Consider the following 16967-nt stretch of genomic DNA (forward strand, 5'->3'; position numbering starts at 1 on the left):
TTTTATACACATAGGGTCTCACTATGTTACTCAAGCTAGTCTCCAATTCCTGGCCTTAAGAGATTTTCCCAAAGCATTAGGATTATAGGCATGAGCCACCTCACCCAGCTGAAACAGATAATTCTTTTTTTTTTTTTCCTTGAGATGGAGTTTTGCTCTTGTCAGCCAGGCTGGAGTGCAATGGCGCGATCTCGGCTCGCTGTAACCTCTGCCTCCCGGGGTCAAGCGATTCTCCTGTCTCAGCTTCCCCAGTAGCTGGGATTACAGGCGTCCACCACCACACTCGGCTAATTTTTTGTATTTTAGTAGAGATGGGTTTTCGCCATGTTGGTCAGGCTGGTCTTGAACTCCTGACCTCAGGTGATCTGCCCACCTCAGCCTCCCAAAGTGCTGTGATTACAGGTGTGAGCCACTGCTCCTGGCTTGAAACAGATAATTCTTTATATTCAACCTGTTGTCAAAATTTTTAGAAACATTTTCCCAGTTCCTTGTATAAGTATACTTTGTATAACTTCTGGCAAACCATAATTATGAACTCACATTACTATAGTACTATAATACTGCAGTAAGGGATCTTGCGTTTCAGTAATGTCACTCATCCAGTTTTCCTCCCCTTTCTCTTACCCCATCTCCCTCCCAGTCTCATGGTTTCTGTTGTCAATCCTCTTTCTCCTTACACAAGGCAAGAGGTTTTCTTACCAATAGATCAGAACTGTGAAGGACTGCCCGACATGATCTGATATGGTTGTTCTTCATTTTGGGCTGTAGTATTTTAAAGTAGAGGTTTGCTCTGATGGTCCCATCACTGCTTGCCATTGTCTTTCCCTTTGCTCTAGCTATCAGGGGATGTTGCTTTAAGTTTGTTCCCCAGGCTTTACTGCCAAGAGGGAAATTCATACCCACTTTAACAAGGTGTGAAGCTTATCTTACAGTTGCTAATGCCTCACTGACCTTTTGGAAAGGTCATAGTTACTCTTCAAGTTGAGCGATTTTTCTCCCCCAAGAGCTAATTAAAGTTTCTTGTTTCTGATATGCTCTCCTTGGCAAATGTTTGAAAGTCTAGTATCAGAGCAGCTGTGATCCTGCATCTATCAAAATTTATAACTTCCTAGAGAAGTTTTCATTCTGGCATTATTCCTGGCCTTAACACTAGAATGCCCTGTTGAAAGCATACAGTAACATTTATTATACTCATTCTGGTTGTCTGTTTGCCCTAGCTCACTGGACGTTGGTGGTGATTGGCATCTGTCAGGACTTGGTGGTCCTGGTGCCTCCTGTTTTTATTTTTCTTTTTGTCCTGCTCAAACAGATATTTCTTATTCATGCCGTCTTCTAATGAGTCATTTGGATTCATTATTGCCATAAATCATTTGGAGGAGTGTTTTCATGATTTACTAAGTAGATCTTTTAAAGAAGATTTTATTATGAAATATGCAAACATTTTAAGCAATTTTTTAATTAAAAAAAATTCGACCTCCAAGATTAAATCATTAGATGTGGTTAACACTGTTTCTGGATTGGTAAGTTTCCACAAAAAGAGGTTTTTAAATTTTTAACCACATAGACCACTCTTTACCATATTCATTATTCTTAGTATTCATTGTGGTGAGTTCTCTCTTTTTACCACGTTTATAGTTGTTGGATTGGGAAGTGCAGTGTGACTCTTACTTTGTAGTTTTTAAATCTTAACAAGTTTATAGTTGTATGAGCTAAAAGTTTAAACCTCTGCCCCATTTTCTTGGGGCAGTGTTCTGTGACCAGTTACATTTTTGGACTTAGGTTATCTCTGAAGTGCTGTGTTGCTGTATAAATGTCATATGGAGGATAACCTACAAAATACACTTCGGATCTCCCAACAGCTTTGCGGTTCTGAAACAGCCTTCAGTAGTACCACTGAAAAGAAACGGGGAATTAACTGGTTTTTTGTTTCTTTTATAGAGATGAGGGTCTCGCTATGTTGCCCAGGCTGGTCTCAAGCTCCTGGCATGAAATGATCCTCCTGCCTTGGCCTCCCAAAGTGCCGGGATTATAGGCATGAGCCACTGTTCCCGGCCTAGAATTAAACAGTTTATATATGCTCTAAAATTTAAGTCAGTGATCAAGTTGTTTATACTGTGGATTTATGTCACATGGATATTACTTGATATGAATAATAACTAAATGAACATGACTGTTAGATGATCACCTTTTACTTTAATCAAGAATTGAAGTTTTATTTTTTCTAAATAGATACATATAAAATGAATGGAATTTATTCCCTCTCCCCAGATTTTATTTGGATTCTAAAATGGAATTATTACATCAAAAGATAAGGTATTTTTAAGAAGTATAGTTGTTTTTTTGAGACTGAGTCTTGCTCTAACGCCCAGGCTGGTGTGCAGTGGTGCGATCTCAGCTCACTGCAACCTTTGCCTCCCAGGTTCAAGCGATTCTCCTGCCTCAGCTTCCCAACTAGCTAGGACTGCAGGTGTGCGCCACCACACCTGGCTAATTTTTTGTGTTTCTAGTAGAGGTGGTTTCACCTTGTTGGCCAGGGTGGTCTCGAATTCCTGACCTCAGGCGATCTACCTGTCTCGGCCTCCCAAAGTGCTGGGATTACAGACTTGAACCACCACACCCAGCCATGAAGTATAGTTTTTTGTTTGTTTTTTGAGTTTTGCTTTTGTTGCCCAGGCTGGAGTGCAATGGTGCGATCTTGGCTCACCGCAACCTCTGCCTCCCGGGTTCAAGCGATTCTCCTGCCTCAGCCTCCTGAGTAGCTGGGATTACAGGCATGCACCACCACACACTGCTAATTTTGTAATTTTAGTAGAGATAGGGTTTCTTCGTGTTGGTCAGGCTGGTCTCGAGCTCCAGACCTCAGGTGATCCCCCCGCCTTGGCCTCCCAAAGTGCTGGAATTACAGGCGTGAGCCATCGCACCCGGCTTTTTTTTTTGTTTTGAGACCGAGTCTTGCTCTGTTGCCCAGGCTGGAGTGCAGTGGCACGATCTCGGCTCACTGCCACCTCCGCCTCCTAGGTACAAGTGATTCTCTTGCCTCAGCCTCCCCAGTAGGTGGGATTACTGACACACATCACCATGCCCAGGTAATTTTTTTGTATTTTTAGTAGAGACGGGGTTTCGCCATGTCGGCCAGGCTGGTCTGGAACTCCTGACCTCAGGTGATCTGCCCGCCTCAGCCTCCCAAAGTGTTGGGATTACAGGTGTGAGCCACTGTGCCCAGCTGAAGTATAGTTTTGACTTTCAAGAATTCTTATGAACAAGACATAGCCAGTTGTTTATATAATTGCATTTTCTACCGTTTATTTCTAGAGAAAGAAAATAGATTTTGTCTATCATAATCCCTTTAGTGCTAGCCACTTTTTTTTTTTTTTTTTTTTGAGTTTTCGCTCTTGCTGCCCAGGCTGGAGTGCAATGGCATGCAGTACACTCACGGCTCACTGCAACCTTTGCCTCCCCAGGTTCAAGTGATTCTCTTGCCTCAGCCTCCTGAGTAGCTGGGATTACAGGCACCTACCACCATGTCCAGCTAATTTTTTGTATTTTTAGTAGAGATGGGGTTTCGCCATGTTGGGCAGGTTGGTCTGGAACTCTTGACCTCAGGTGATCGCCTGCCTTGGCCTCCCAAAGTGCTGGGATTACAGGCCTGAGCCACCATGCTCGGCCAGTGCTAGCCACTTTTTAAAAAAGTGACATTAAGCCTAAAAAGACACATTCTAACGTGCCATTTCTCTTCTAGGTTTTGGCTTGGTTTGAAGAAGGTGAAGAAACAATTACAGCCTTTGTAGAACCTTTTGTAATTTTACTCATATTAGTAGCCAATGCAATTGTGGGTGTATGGCAGGTAAGCAAAAATTCCTGTACTGCAAAATTTCAATAAGTTATGTAAGTGATTAGGGCTGTATTAATCTTTCTGTTATCTGTTTTTCCTGATGTGTTGAGTAAAAATATGTTTGCGGGAAGTTTACATGTATTTTCCCTTTATTCCATAAATTAATTGTTTTCTGACACAGTCTCACTCTGTTGCCCAGGCTGGAGTGCAATGGTGTTGTCTCGGCTCACTGCAACCTCTTCCTCCCAGGTTCAAGTGGTTCTCGTGCCTCAGCCTCCCAAGTAGCTGGGACTACAGGCACGCACCACCACGCCCAGCTCATTTTTGTATTTTTTGGTAAGAGACAGGGTTTCACCATGTTGGCCAGGCTGGTCTTGAGCTCCTGACCTCAAGTGATCCGCCCTCCTCAGCCTCCCAAAGTGCTGGGATTACAGACGTGAGCCACCATGCCCGGCCTATTAATTTAATTAATTGCAAATTTTTGACCTTAATGCATATAAACTTTGCAGTTAAGATTGCTCATTCTTCGCCAAGTGTGGTGGCACCAGCCTGTAGTCTCAGCTACTCAGGAGGCTGAGGTGGGAGGGTTGCTTGAACCCAGGAGGTCAAGACTGTAGTGAGCCATGATCGTAACACTGCACTCCAGTCTGGGCAAAGGAGCAACACTGTCTCAGAAAAACATTGTTCATTCTTTACGGTAGCAAGGAATTAAAATGGGTGAGAGAAGCTGCTTAAGGAAATGAGAATGTGAGAACCATTATCTTTATGTCTCCTAGTTGCTTCCTGTGACAAACTTTAAAAGCTACATGTCATTTTTATTCTCCTTGGGTTTTTTTGGTAGGTTTAGCTATAAAAATTGTTTCCCCTTCAGTGCTTACTACAGACTCTGAGACTTAAAATTCATGTTAAGTGTTGATCTTTTAGGTATTTGACGGATATAATCACCCCTTTGAGGACTGAAGTAGACCTTTTTTTTGTTTTTGTTTTGAGACCGACTCTCTGTCGCCCAGGCAGGAGTGCAGTGGCACGATCTCGGCTCACTGCAACCTCCGCCTCCCAGGTTCAAGCAGTTCTGCCTCAGCCTCCTTGAGTAGCTGGGATTACAGGCACCTGACACCACACCCAGCTAATTTTTGTATTTTTAGTAGAGACGGGGTTTCACCATCAGGCTGGTCTCAAACCCCTGACCTCGTGATCCACCCACCTCGGCCTCCCAAAGTGCTGGGATTACAGGTGTGAGCCACCACTCCCGGCCTTTTTTTTTTTTTTTTTTTTTGTTTGTTTGTTTGTTTGTTTGTTTTGACCGACTTTCACTCTTGTTGCCCAGGCTGGAGTGCAATGGTGCAGTCTTGGCTCACTGCAACCTCCACTTCCCGGGATCAAGCAATTCTCCTGTCTCACCCTCCCGGGTAGCTGGGATTACAGGCACGTGCCACCATGCCCAGCTAACTTACTTACTTTTAATAGAGATGGGGTTTCATTTTGTTGGTCAGGCTGGTCTCAAACTCCTGACCTCAGATGATTCCCCCTGCCTTGGCCTCCCAAAGTGCTAGGATTACATGCGTGAGCCACCACGCCCGACACATCTTATAAACATACTTAGTCCTGTTGAAATTGTAAACTTCTAATCTTTACCAATAAATGTTAACGATCTTTATGTGGTAGGTTCATAGAAAGATGGCCTACTTAGAGATTTGTAATTGTGCCATATATATGTGTGTGTGTGTGTGTGTGTGTGTGTGTGTGTGTGTGTATATATTTTTTTTTTTTTTTTTTTTTTTTTAGATGGAGTCTTGCTCTGTTGCCCAGGCTGGAGTGCAGTGGTGTGATTTTGGCTCACTGCAACCTCCGTCTTGTGGGTTTGAACAATTCTCCTGCCTCAGCTTCCCGAGTAGCTGGGATTATAGGTGACTGTCACCATGCCTGGCTGTTGTTTTTTTTGTTTTTTTGAGACAGAGTCTCACTCTGTCACCCAGGCTGGAGTGCAGTGGCATGATCTTGGCTCACTGCAAGCTCCGCCTCCCGGGCTCACGCCATTCTCCTGTCTCAGCCTCCCGAATAGCTGGGATTACAGGTGCCCACCACCACGCCCAGCTAATTTTTTGTACTTTTAATAGAGACGGGGTTTCACCGTGTTAGCCAGGATGGTCTCGATCTCCTGACCTTGTGATCCGCCTGCCTCGGCCTCCCAAAGTGCCGGGATTACAAGTGTGAGCCACTGTGCCTGGCCTTCTTCTTATGTTTTTCTCAAAAAAATTATATTTGGTCAGGGCATGGTAGCTCATGCCTGTAGTATCAGCAGTTTGGGAAGCTGAGGCGGGTGGATCAGTTAAGGTCAGGAGGTCGAGACCAGCCTGGCCAACATGGCAAGTCCCCGTCGCTACTAAAAATACAGAAAGTTAGCTGGGTATGGTAGCATGCGCCCCCAGCTACTTGGGAGGCTGAGGCAGGGCTTGAACCTAGGGGGCGGAGTTTGCAGTGAGCCGAGATGATGCCACTGCACTCGAGCCTGGGCGACAGAGCTAGACTTCGTCTCAGAAAAAAAAGATTCGAGTTTTTAAAAAAAGAACATTCTTAAGTCTTTAGTATACTGAATGGTATGAGCAGCAATAGAGGGTTGTGGCCTTCTGAAAGTAAGGAAAATTATAATGACAGTATAAGGTAGTATGAGGGGCATAGTCTTTTATTTCTGACCAGTGTCATCAAGGAGGGCTTTATTTTTTTTAAGACGGAGTCTCGCTCTGTCAACCAGGCTGGAGTGCAGTGGCACGATCTTGGCCCACTGCAGCCTCCACCTCCCGGACTCAAGAGATTCTCCCACCTCAGTCTCCCAAGTAGCTGGGATTACAGGCGTGCACCACCACGCCTGGTTAATTTTTTGTATTTTTAGTAGAGACAGTTTCACCATGTTGGCCAGGCTGGTCTCGCACTCCCAACCTCAGGCGATCCGCCCACCTCAGCCTCCCAAAGTGCCGGGATTACAGGTGTGAGCCACCATGCCCAGCCTTTTCATTGATTGTAATTGTCATCTTTGTTCTCAGGGTCAGAGATAATTTATCTTTTTTTTCCCCCAAGACAGCTTCACTCTTGCCCAGGCTGGAGTGCAGTGTCATAATCACAGCTCACTCCAATCTCTGCCTCGCAGGCTTAGTGATCCTCCCACCTCAGCCTCCTGAGCAGCTGAGACTGCAGGTGTATGGCACCATGTCAGGATAATTTTTGCATTTTTCGTAGAGACACTGTCTCGTTATGTTCAGCCCAGGTTGGTCTGGAACTCTTGGGCTCAAGCAGTCCTCTTACCTCAGCCTCCCAAAAGTGCTGGGATTACAGGCATGAGCTACTGTGCTCAGCTGATAATTTAAGCACATGCAAAATACAGTGCTCATGGGATATTTGTTTAACCTTGAGCAGTCCAGTTAAATTCCACCCAACATGATCTTGAAGGGTAAGAATGTCTGATATGAGATTGAAATTAACTTTATCATGAATTTCCCAATTAAGGTTTTTTTATACTTTTTCTGGGGTATATACATCAAAACTGAGGTACACGTGTTACCAGCTTTCATCTTTGTGTCATTTGATTCTCTTTAGGCTGGTTTGATTCTACAACTTCCATTCTGAAATCGGGAAGAAAATTACTGTGACTTCTAACGGTTGATAGTTCATATATGATGTCATGAGAAATATATAGCTTGGGACTGGCAGTGCTATGATGAGAGTCCAGCCATTCATTGGTCTTTACAACTGGAGGGATAGTTCTTAGAATTTGTGAGAGATACTCATCACTCATAGCATTTACTGTGTGCCCAAACACAATCTAAGCATGTTACATATGACTTCTTATCCTCACAAACCTTGAGGTAGGAACTGTTAGTGTTGTCATTTTATAGACAGTAAACTTGTGTGTTGTGTAACCTCTCTACAGTGACATAGCTGTTAAGAGCCTGTATTGAACCTGGGCAGCTTAGCCCAGAGTTGGGTTGGGTTGGGGTTTTTTTTGTTTTGTTTTGTTTTGTTTTTTTGACATAGTCTCTTTCTGTTGCCCAGGCTGGAGTGCAGTGGCAGGATCTCGTCTCACTGCAGCCTCCGCCTCTCGGGTTCAAGCGATTCTTCTGCCTCAGCCTCCTGAGCCCAGACTATTAAGCTGTACTGCCTCTCATGAGACAGAATTGATTTTAAATGGCAGGGGGATTTGGCTAAAGGTGAAAGCTGTGTTTTACAGTCTTAGGGACAGCAGAGTCTGTAATTGCTTTTCCTCATTGTTTTATCCCCTTAGCTTAATTGAGGGTACTTAACGTTTCGTTTTTAATACAAATTAATAAATGTCCTTGTGTCTGTTGCCTTAGATGTGAATTGTTTAGTACAAATGTTACTGGTGGGCTTCCTTTCTTTTTAAAGATTAGACCTCTAACATTTTATTCCTTGGGTTAGAAATAATTGCAGTGTCAGGCAGGTCTTTACTACTCTTCTGTTTTCTTTTATACAGGAAAGAAATGCTGAAAATGCCATCGAAGCCCTTAAGGAATATGAGCCTGAAATGGGCAAAGTGTATCGACAGGACAGAAAGAGTGTGCAGCGGATTAAAGCTAAAGACATAGTTCCTGGTGATATTGTAGAAATTGCTGGTGAGTTGAGTTTGTCATTTTTCTTTTATTCTAGATAGTATTTCTGAATGTAGTCCTTTTCTCAAGGCTCATAATTATATTTAAAATAATTGTTTTCATGTATCAATTAACACATTTTATTGCCATTCATACAAATCCTACATTCTCTAAAATTATTTTGAAATGTTTTAGCACCTCCCTTCCTGTCATTGATAAGGCTTTTGGTTTTTGTTTTTAAACAAGGTATTTTGAATTCTACTTGTTTAAATACATTGTAGAACACAAGTGCTAGAGAGGTAAAACCTAATGTTGATTTGACAGTTAGTTATAGTGAACAATTTGTTAGAATACTGGCTAATGACGACACAGTTTTTCCTGTTTTGTTTCTTGGCACCAAAGTTCATGGTCAAGGGTAATTTCTTGACTCTGAAAGCTATGCTTGGCCAGGCTTGGTAGCTCACGCCTGTAATCCCAGCACTTTGGGATGCCGAGGCAGGCAGATCACGAGGTCAAGAGATTGAGACCACCCTGGCCAACATGAAACCTCATCTCTACTAAAAATGCAAAAATTAGCCGGGCATGATGGTGTGTGCCTGTAGTCCCAGCCACTTGTGAGGCTGCAGCAGGAAGAATCGCTTGAACCTGGGAGGCGGAGGTTGCAGTGAGCTGAGATCGCACCACTGCACTCCATCTTGATGACAGAGTGAGACTTCATCTCAAAAAAAAAAAAAAAAAACAGTATGCTTAAAAATACTTATGTGTTACACTGAGCCAGGAGTCTCTGCCTGAATTCCAGAGATAGCTTCAAAGAGTCCATGAATCCACTGTGAGTCCAGAATGCTCCACAGACCTCCAAGGGTCAGTATCCTCACTGCTGTAGATTAGTGCTGTTTTTTTGTTTTGTTTTGTTTTGTTTTTTGAGATGGGAGTCTCACTCTGTTACCCGGGCTGGAGTGCAGTGGCATGATCTCAGCTCACTGCAACCTCCACCTCCCAAGCTCAAGCGATCCTCCCACTTTGCCCCCCAAATAGCTGGTACCACAGATGCATGCCACTACACTCGCCTAATTTTTATATTTTTTGTAGAGAGGGAGTTTTGCCATGTTGCTCAGGCTAGTCTCAAACTCCTGAGCTCAAGTGATCCTGCCTTAGCGTCCCAAAGTGCTGGGATTACAGGTGTGCCCAGCAGCCATATTTCTGACAGTCCAAAATCACAACACCCCTGGGACCAACCAGGATAGTCTAGGTGGGTTGTTTGTTTTGGCTATTTCACTTAGAGAGTCATTGCATACTGTTATTCAGATTATCTGGCTTTTCATACCCTTCTGAGTTAAGTATACTATTTACTTTGTTGCTATTTGTGAATTATCTCATAGTAATATGCTTTTATATTGACTTGGGAAGGGTGTGCTTTGTCTTTATTGTCTTACTCATTTTAATGAATTGAAAGAGCTGCATTCCTTAACCCATGCTCTACAACTTTGGCCTCTGAAAGGAAATTGCCTTGTCCTATTCTCTCATCCAGAAATTTTTGTTGTTCCTCCAGAAAAAAAGGATAGTGTTACATATATGCCAGTAAGCCAATTATTTGGGACTGTGTAGTGTTTGTGTGTAAATGGTGTGTGTAAATGATTTAACAGCTTCCTTAAGTATAGTGTTAAGAAGAGTACAACTCAGAATGAAATGTCTTGGCTATTGGATTTTTTAAAACTTCCTGTTTTGGCCAGGCGTGGTGGCTCATGCCTGTAATCCCAGCACTTTGGGAGGCTGAGGTGGGCAGATCATGAGGTCAAGAGATCGAAACTATCCTGGCCAAAATGGTGAAACCCTGTCTCTACTGAAAATACAGAAATCAGCTGGGCATGGTGGCTCCCACCTGTAGTCCGAGCTCCTCGGGAGGCTGAGGCAGGAGAATCTCTTAAACCCAGGAGGCAGAGGTTGCAGTGAGCCGAGGTCGTGCCATTTCACTGCAGCCTGGGCGACAGAGCCCCAGACTCCATCTCAAAAAAACAAATTTTCTGTTTTGACACAAATGTTATACTATCACAGATGTATTATTTTTTCACTCTGTATACACACATTTTTGTATGAACTGTTGAAGGGTATATTGCAGGCATGATGCCCCTTTAACTCCTAAATAACATTTGTTTTATAGTATCAAGGATGTTCTCTTATATAACCTCAGTATGATTATCAGAATTAGGAAATTGATGCAATAGTATGTAAGATCTTATTCAGAATTTACCAGTTATCACTTTTTTTGATGAGGGGAAGACAGGGTCTCAATCTGTCACCCAGGCTGGAGTGCAGTGGCACCATCACGGCTCACTGCAGCGTTGACCTCCTGGGCTCAAGTGATTCTCCCACCTCAGCCTCCTGAATAACTGGGATCACAGGCATGAGCAACCAAGCTCCTAGCTAAGTTTTGTATTTTTTTGTAGAGATGGGTCTTGCCCTGTTGCCCAGGCTGGTCTCTCAAACTCCTGGGCTCAGGCAGTCCTGCCTCAGCCTCCCAAAATGCTGGGATTACAGACGTGAGCCCACTGCGCCTGGCCCACATTTTTTTTAATAGCAAAAAATATTTGAATTAGGGAATTCTGATGGTGATGAAGAAAATAGGTCAGAATGGGGAAGGCTGAAGATATAGGGAGGCTATTTTAGTAGTCTAGGCAAGAGATAATGAGGACAGTAACATTAAGAATAATGAAGGAAAGATTTTTGAGTTCATGAATAGTGGCTCTTAAGCAGGAGTGCACATCACAATCATCTGGGGGCACTCTTTTTAAAAAAGTTTTTGGCAGGTCTCAACCTAGAATATTAACTCTGAATCTCCATTGGGTACAGAGTTCTGATCGTGAGTAGTTCAAAGAGTGAGCCTCTGACTTAGTTACAAAACAGCAGATTTGTTTTGTTTTGTTTTGAGATGGAGTTTCGCTCTTGTTGCCCAGGCTGGAGTGCAATGGCACCATCACGGCTCACTGCAGCATTGACCTCCTGGGCTCAAGTGATTCTCCCACCTCAGTCTCCTGAAAAACTGGGATCACAGGCATGAGCCACCATGTACCTGGCTAAGTTTTGTATTTTTTTTGTAGAGATGGGTCTTGCCATGTTGCTCAGGCTTGTCTCTCAAACTCCTGGGCTCAGGCAGTCCTGCCTCAGCCTCCCAAGTAGCTGGGATTACAGGCATGCGCCATCATGCCCAGCTAATTTTGTATTTTTAGTAGATGTGGGGTTTCTCCATGTTGGTCAGGCTGATCTCGAACTCCCGACCTCAGGTGGTCCGCCCGCCTCAGCCTCCCAAAGTGCTGGGATTACAGGAGTGAGCCACCACGCACGGCCTAAAGCAGCTCCTTCCGTCAGTCTGTCCGTCCGTCTGTCCTTCCTTCCTTCCTCCCCCTTTCCCTCCCCTCCCCTCCCCTCCCCTCCCCTCCTTCTGTCCTCCCTCTTTTCCTTCTTTCTCGCTCTCTCTTTTTTTTTTTTTTTTTTTTAACTTGGAGACAGGGGCTTGCTCTCTTGTCCAGGCTACAGTGGAGTAGTGTGATCACTGCGACCTCGAACTCCTTGGCTTCAAGGGGGTCCTCCTGCCTCAGCCTCCTGAGTAGCTGGTAATACAGGCACATGACACCATGCCCAGCTTTTTTTTTTTTTTTTTTTTAAAGACGGAATCTTGAACTGTCGCCCAGGCTGGAGTGCAGTGGCACGATTGCGGCCCACTGCAAGCTTCGCCTCCCAGGTTTACGCCATTCTCCTGCCTCAGCCTCCCCAGTAGCTGTGACTGCAGGTGCCCACCAACACTCCCAGCTAATTTTTTGTATTTTTAGTAGAGACAGGGTTTCACTGTGTTAGCCAGGATGACCTCGTGATCCTCCCGCCTCAGCCTCCCAAAGTGCTGGGATTACTTACAGGTGTGAGCCACCATGCCCGGCCTTTTTTTTTTTTTTTTTTTAAAGTAAAGATGGGGTCTTGCTTTGTTGTCCAGGCTGGTCTTGAACTTCTGGGCTCAAGCGATCCTCCTCCTCCTGCCTTGGCCTTCCAAAGTGTTGTAATTACAGGTGTGAGCCACTGTACCTGGCTCAAAGCAACAGATTTTGATAATAGATAGGAGAGTGTGTAAATCAAAGATACTGGCAAGATTTCTAGTTTACGTGACTGGGTGTGATGATGGTACTCTACTACCTACAGAAGGAAACATTGGAAAGGAGATTGTTTTTCCACAAATATATGTGGTGGGTGAGGTTGTAGATGACATCACCTAAATATGTGTATGAGATTCTGTTTGATTTTATGCTTACAGTTTCTCCAGCTTCTTCTTGTTTAATTTTTTTAAAAAAATAGAGACAGAGTCTAGCTATGTTGCCTAGGCTGGTCTCAAACTCCTGGCCTCAAGTGATCCTCTTGCCTTGGCCTCCCAAAGTTCTGGGATTTACAGGTGTGAGCCACTGTGCTCTGCCTTGTTGGGCTGTTTTAGTGTGTTGAGTCTACTTGAAGCCTTAGAGAAATTACCCCCAAAGCCTTTATCCTTAGTTTGCATCAGTAGATGGCAATGGTAGACAGCTTCAGAGGAAACTACAACTGTGATACCTCAAAGCACCATCCTTTTTGAAGAAAGAGACAAAAGCCAGCTTCTCTTCAGTTGGTGATTCTGGTTTCTCTGTATCTTTGAATCCTGATTCTTGCCAGTCCTTCCCGTCTTTTGTAAGACACTCTAACCTAATTAACTGTGAGAAACTTGGAAGTCATCTTGATTTTTTCCCCCCTCTTATCCTCTGATTTGTCCGTAAGGCCACTGATTCTGTCTCCAGAACACACCCAAGTTCGTGAACTCCGTTTCCTTGGTCAGCACACTAGTCTAGCCATCATCTCACACCGCAGCTGTCATCATCTCCTAACTAGGCTCTGGCTTCCTTTGTTGTCTTCCTCCAGTCCATTCTCCACACAAGTGCCAGAGTGGTTTCTTAAAGGTTGTGTTATTTATTCATCTGCTAAAAAACCCTTAAGGGACTTCCCCATTGCACTTAAAATACAAAATTCTCTGACCTGATAAACTTGCATTGTGTGTATGTACCTCCTGCTTTCTTCTATGATTTCATCTTGTGCTGCTCCTTCATGTTGCAGACATCCAGGCCTTTTTTTCAGTTTTCAGTACCACCAAAGTCACCTTTTTTTGGAAGGTTAGGCAAATTTTATAGAGTTTATTAATTTGCTCAATGCACTGATCTTATGGTGGTGAAGCTTTGATTATTACCCTGACCTATCTCGCTTTCTCACACTGAAATTTCATTTTCTATATTGTAATATAGTTTTGTTGTTGCATTTGATAGTTTAGAAAGGACAAATAATGTTTGATCTATAGTGTATGTGACTTAAGATTTTCAGTCTAATGGGATTTTCCTTATTTATATTGTGGTAAAGTATACATATTATAAACTTACCCATTTTAACCATTTTTAAGCGTGCAGTTCTGTGGCATTAAGTACATTCACATTGTTTTGGGACTGTCACCATCCAGAACTTTTATCTTCCCTAACTGAAATGTACACCTTAAACACTGACTTCCAGTTCCCCTCTTCCCTGGCCCCTGGCAACCATTCCCTTTATTTGAATATTCAAAAGACAATGAATTTAATATTCAAAAAAAACCTGAGTTTAAATCCCTTAGGTGAATATACTACTACTATAAAGTGGAGTACAAATTTAAATCCATTTTCCTTTCACCTGTTTCTGAATCCTTCATAGATAGTGCTGATTCTGGTAGTTATTTACCACTTTTTTTCCCCAGCTCTTCCCCCACAGTATGGTAATTGCTAAAAAGCGTATATATTGCTTTGACGTTGGGCTCTGTTTTTCTTTAATTTTTATTTTTATTACTATTATTATTATTATTATTATTATTACTATTTTGAGACAGGGTCTCACTCTGCTGTGCAGGCTGGAATGCAGTAGCGTGATCTCGGTTCACTGCAACCTCTGCCTGCCTGTTCAAGTGATTCTTGTGCCTCAGCCTCCCAATTAGCTGGGCTCACCAGCATGCACCACCACACCCAGCTGATTTTTGTAGTTGTAGTAGAGATGGGGTTTTGCCATATTGGCCAGGCTGGTCTCAAACTCCTGGCCTCGTGACCCACTCACCTCGGCCTCCCAAAGTGCTGGGATTACAGGCGTGAGCCACCGTGCCTGGCCTATTATTATTTTAGTTAAGCCCAGCTGTGTGAGACATTGGGCTCTTAAGTGCTGCTTGCTTTCGTCTTAAATTGTGACCTTTTTAACTGAGTAATGCAGAACAGACATCTAGGTTTAGAATGTATGTGGGCATTTTATTAAATACTGTTGTCATACTACTAGGCAGTGAGCACCTTAAGGACAGAACTGTCATATTGACTGTTGTAACGTTATCGTAAGTTCTCTATGAATGAAATTTGAAATCAGAAGTATATGATAGGCTCAGCTAATGTAAACATAGTTGCTGTGCAGAACAAACAGTTGAAGTGTATGTGTGTGTTCAATACAATTATTATTATAATATTATACAGACAGAGTCTTGTTCTGTCACCCAGGCTCTAGTGCAGTGGTGTGATCTCGGCTCACTGCAACCTGTGTACCTCCCAGTTTCAAGTGATTCTCCTGCTTCAGTCTCCCGAGTAGCTGGGATTACAGGCTTGGGCCATTATGCCTGGCTTGCTTGCTTTTTTGTTTGTTTGTTTGTTTGTTTGTTTTGAGACGAGTCTCGCTCTGTTGCCAGGCTGGAGTGCAGTGGCATGATCTTGGCTCACTGCAACCTCCGACTCCCTGGTTCAAGCGATTCTCCTGCCTCAGCCTCCCGAGTAGCTGAGATTATAGGCACGTACCACCACGCCCAGCTAATTTTTGTATTTTTTAGTAGAGACGGGGTTTCACCGTGTTGGCCAGGATGGTCTCAAGCCCCTGACCTCGTGATCCATCCTCCTCGGCCTCCCAAAGTGCTGGGATTGATTACAGGCATGAGCCACCGCGCCCAGCCACGCCTGGCTAATATTTTTGTATTTTTAGTAGAGGCAGAGTTTGGCCATGTTGGCCCGGCAAGTCTTGAATTTCTGGCCTCAAGCGATCCACCTGCCTCAGCCTCCCAAAGTGCTGGGATTACAGGCGTGAGCCACTGCACCTGGCCTTCAATACAATTATTGAATGCCAGATTATTAGTATATTCAAGGTCTGTGTGATCCTCATTATTATCTTAATTCCAGAACATTTTCATCACCCTCAGAAAAACCCATACCCATTAGCAGTTGTTGCCCTGTTTTCCTCCCACCAGTTCCTGACAACCACAGTTTATTATCTGTTTTGTGGATTACTGTCTGTTTTTCTGGATATTGCATATAAATGGAGTCAATCTTGGTGACTGGCTTTCTCTTAGCATAGTGTTACATTTCGTTCATGAATATAGCATGTATTTCATTCCTTACTGCTGAATAATGTTTATTAGTTGATGGACATTTGGGTTGTTTCCAGTTTTGGTCTATTATGAGTAATGAATAGTGCTATAACTTGTACATACATGCTTGTACTAATTTTTGTGTGAACATAACATTTTCTCTCTGTTAGGTATGTACCTAAGCATGGAATTATGGGGCCTATAGTGACTCTATACTTAACATTTTGAGCAGCTACCAAACTGTCTTTCAGAATGGTGGTGATATTGTTCTACATTCCCACCAACAATGTATACAAGTTCCAGTTTCTCTACATCCTTGTCAAGACATGTCATTGTCTATCGTTTTAAAGTTTTACCCAGGAAGTGAGTATCATTGTGGTTTTGACGTCCGTTTCCCTAATTTCTTAATGATGTTGGGCATCTTTTCATGTGGCTATTGTCCATCGGTGTGTTTTCTTTGGAGAAATGCCTGTTTAAATTAGGTTATTTGTCTTTTTAATGTTGAGGTATAAGAATTCTTTACATATCCTGCCTTATGAGGTGTGATTAGCAAAATTTTTTCCCCATTCTATAGGGATTCCTTTTTTTCACTTTCTTGATGGCATACTTTGTAACATACAAGTTTTTAATATGATAAAGTCCACTTATACATTGTTGTTGCTTGTGCTTTTGGTGTGATGTCTAAGAAACTGTTGCCAATTGAAGGTCACAAAGACTTTATATATTAGCCAGTATATATGATCCAGGCGTCGTGGCTCATACCTATATGATCCCAGCACTTTGGGAGGCTGAGGCAGGAAAAACCACTTTTTTTTTTCTTTTTGAGACGGAGTCTTGCTCTGTTGTCCAGGCTGGAGTGCAGCGAGTGGCATGATCTCGGCTCAGTGCAACCTCCGCCTCCTGGGTTCAAGCGATTCTCCCGCCTCAGTCTCCCGAGTAGCTGGGATTACAGGTGCACACCACCACACTCAGCTAATTTTTGTATTTTTAGTAGAAACGGGGTTTCACCGTTTTGGCCAGGCTGGTCTTGAACTCCTGACTTCAAATGATCCGCCTGCCTCAGCCTCTCAAAGTGCTGCGATTATAGGCAAGAGCCACCATGCCCAGCCTAGGAAAAAAACAC

General features: G+C 43.4%; 1 protein-coding gene across 6 annotated transcripts in view; it reads left to right on the plus strand.

The window, feature by feature from the left end:
* ATP2A2 (ATPase sarcoplasmic/endoplasmic reticulum Ca2+ transporting 2) overlaps window positions 1-16967 on the plus strand; it is a 70478-nt gene that overhangs the window by 7665 nt on the left and 45846 nt on the right. For 5 of the 6 annotated variants that reach the window (NM_001413015.1, NM_170665.4, XM_011538402.4 and 2 more), the window contains exons 4-5: window positions 3740-3844; window positions 8319-8457. In NM_001413015.1, coding sequence (NP_001399944.1) covers window positions 8370-8457 — 88 coding nt within the window. In that variant the 5' untranslated portion in view covers window positions 3740-3844; window positions 8319-8369. The remainder of the gene's footprint in view (window positions 1-3739; window positions 3845-8318; window positions 8458-16967) is intronic. The other variant, NM_001413013.1, reaches the window with a different exon arrangement.

This window comes from Homo sapiens, chromosome 12, assembly GCF_000001405.40.
Source record: "Homo sapiens chromosome 12, GRCh38.p14 Primary Assembly".
Classification (NCBI taxonomy): Eukaryota; Metazoa; Chordata; class Mammalia; order Primates; family Hominidae; genus Homo; species Homo sapiens.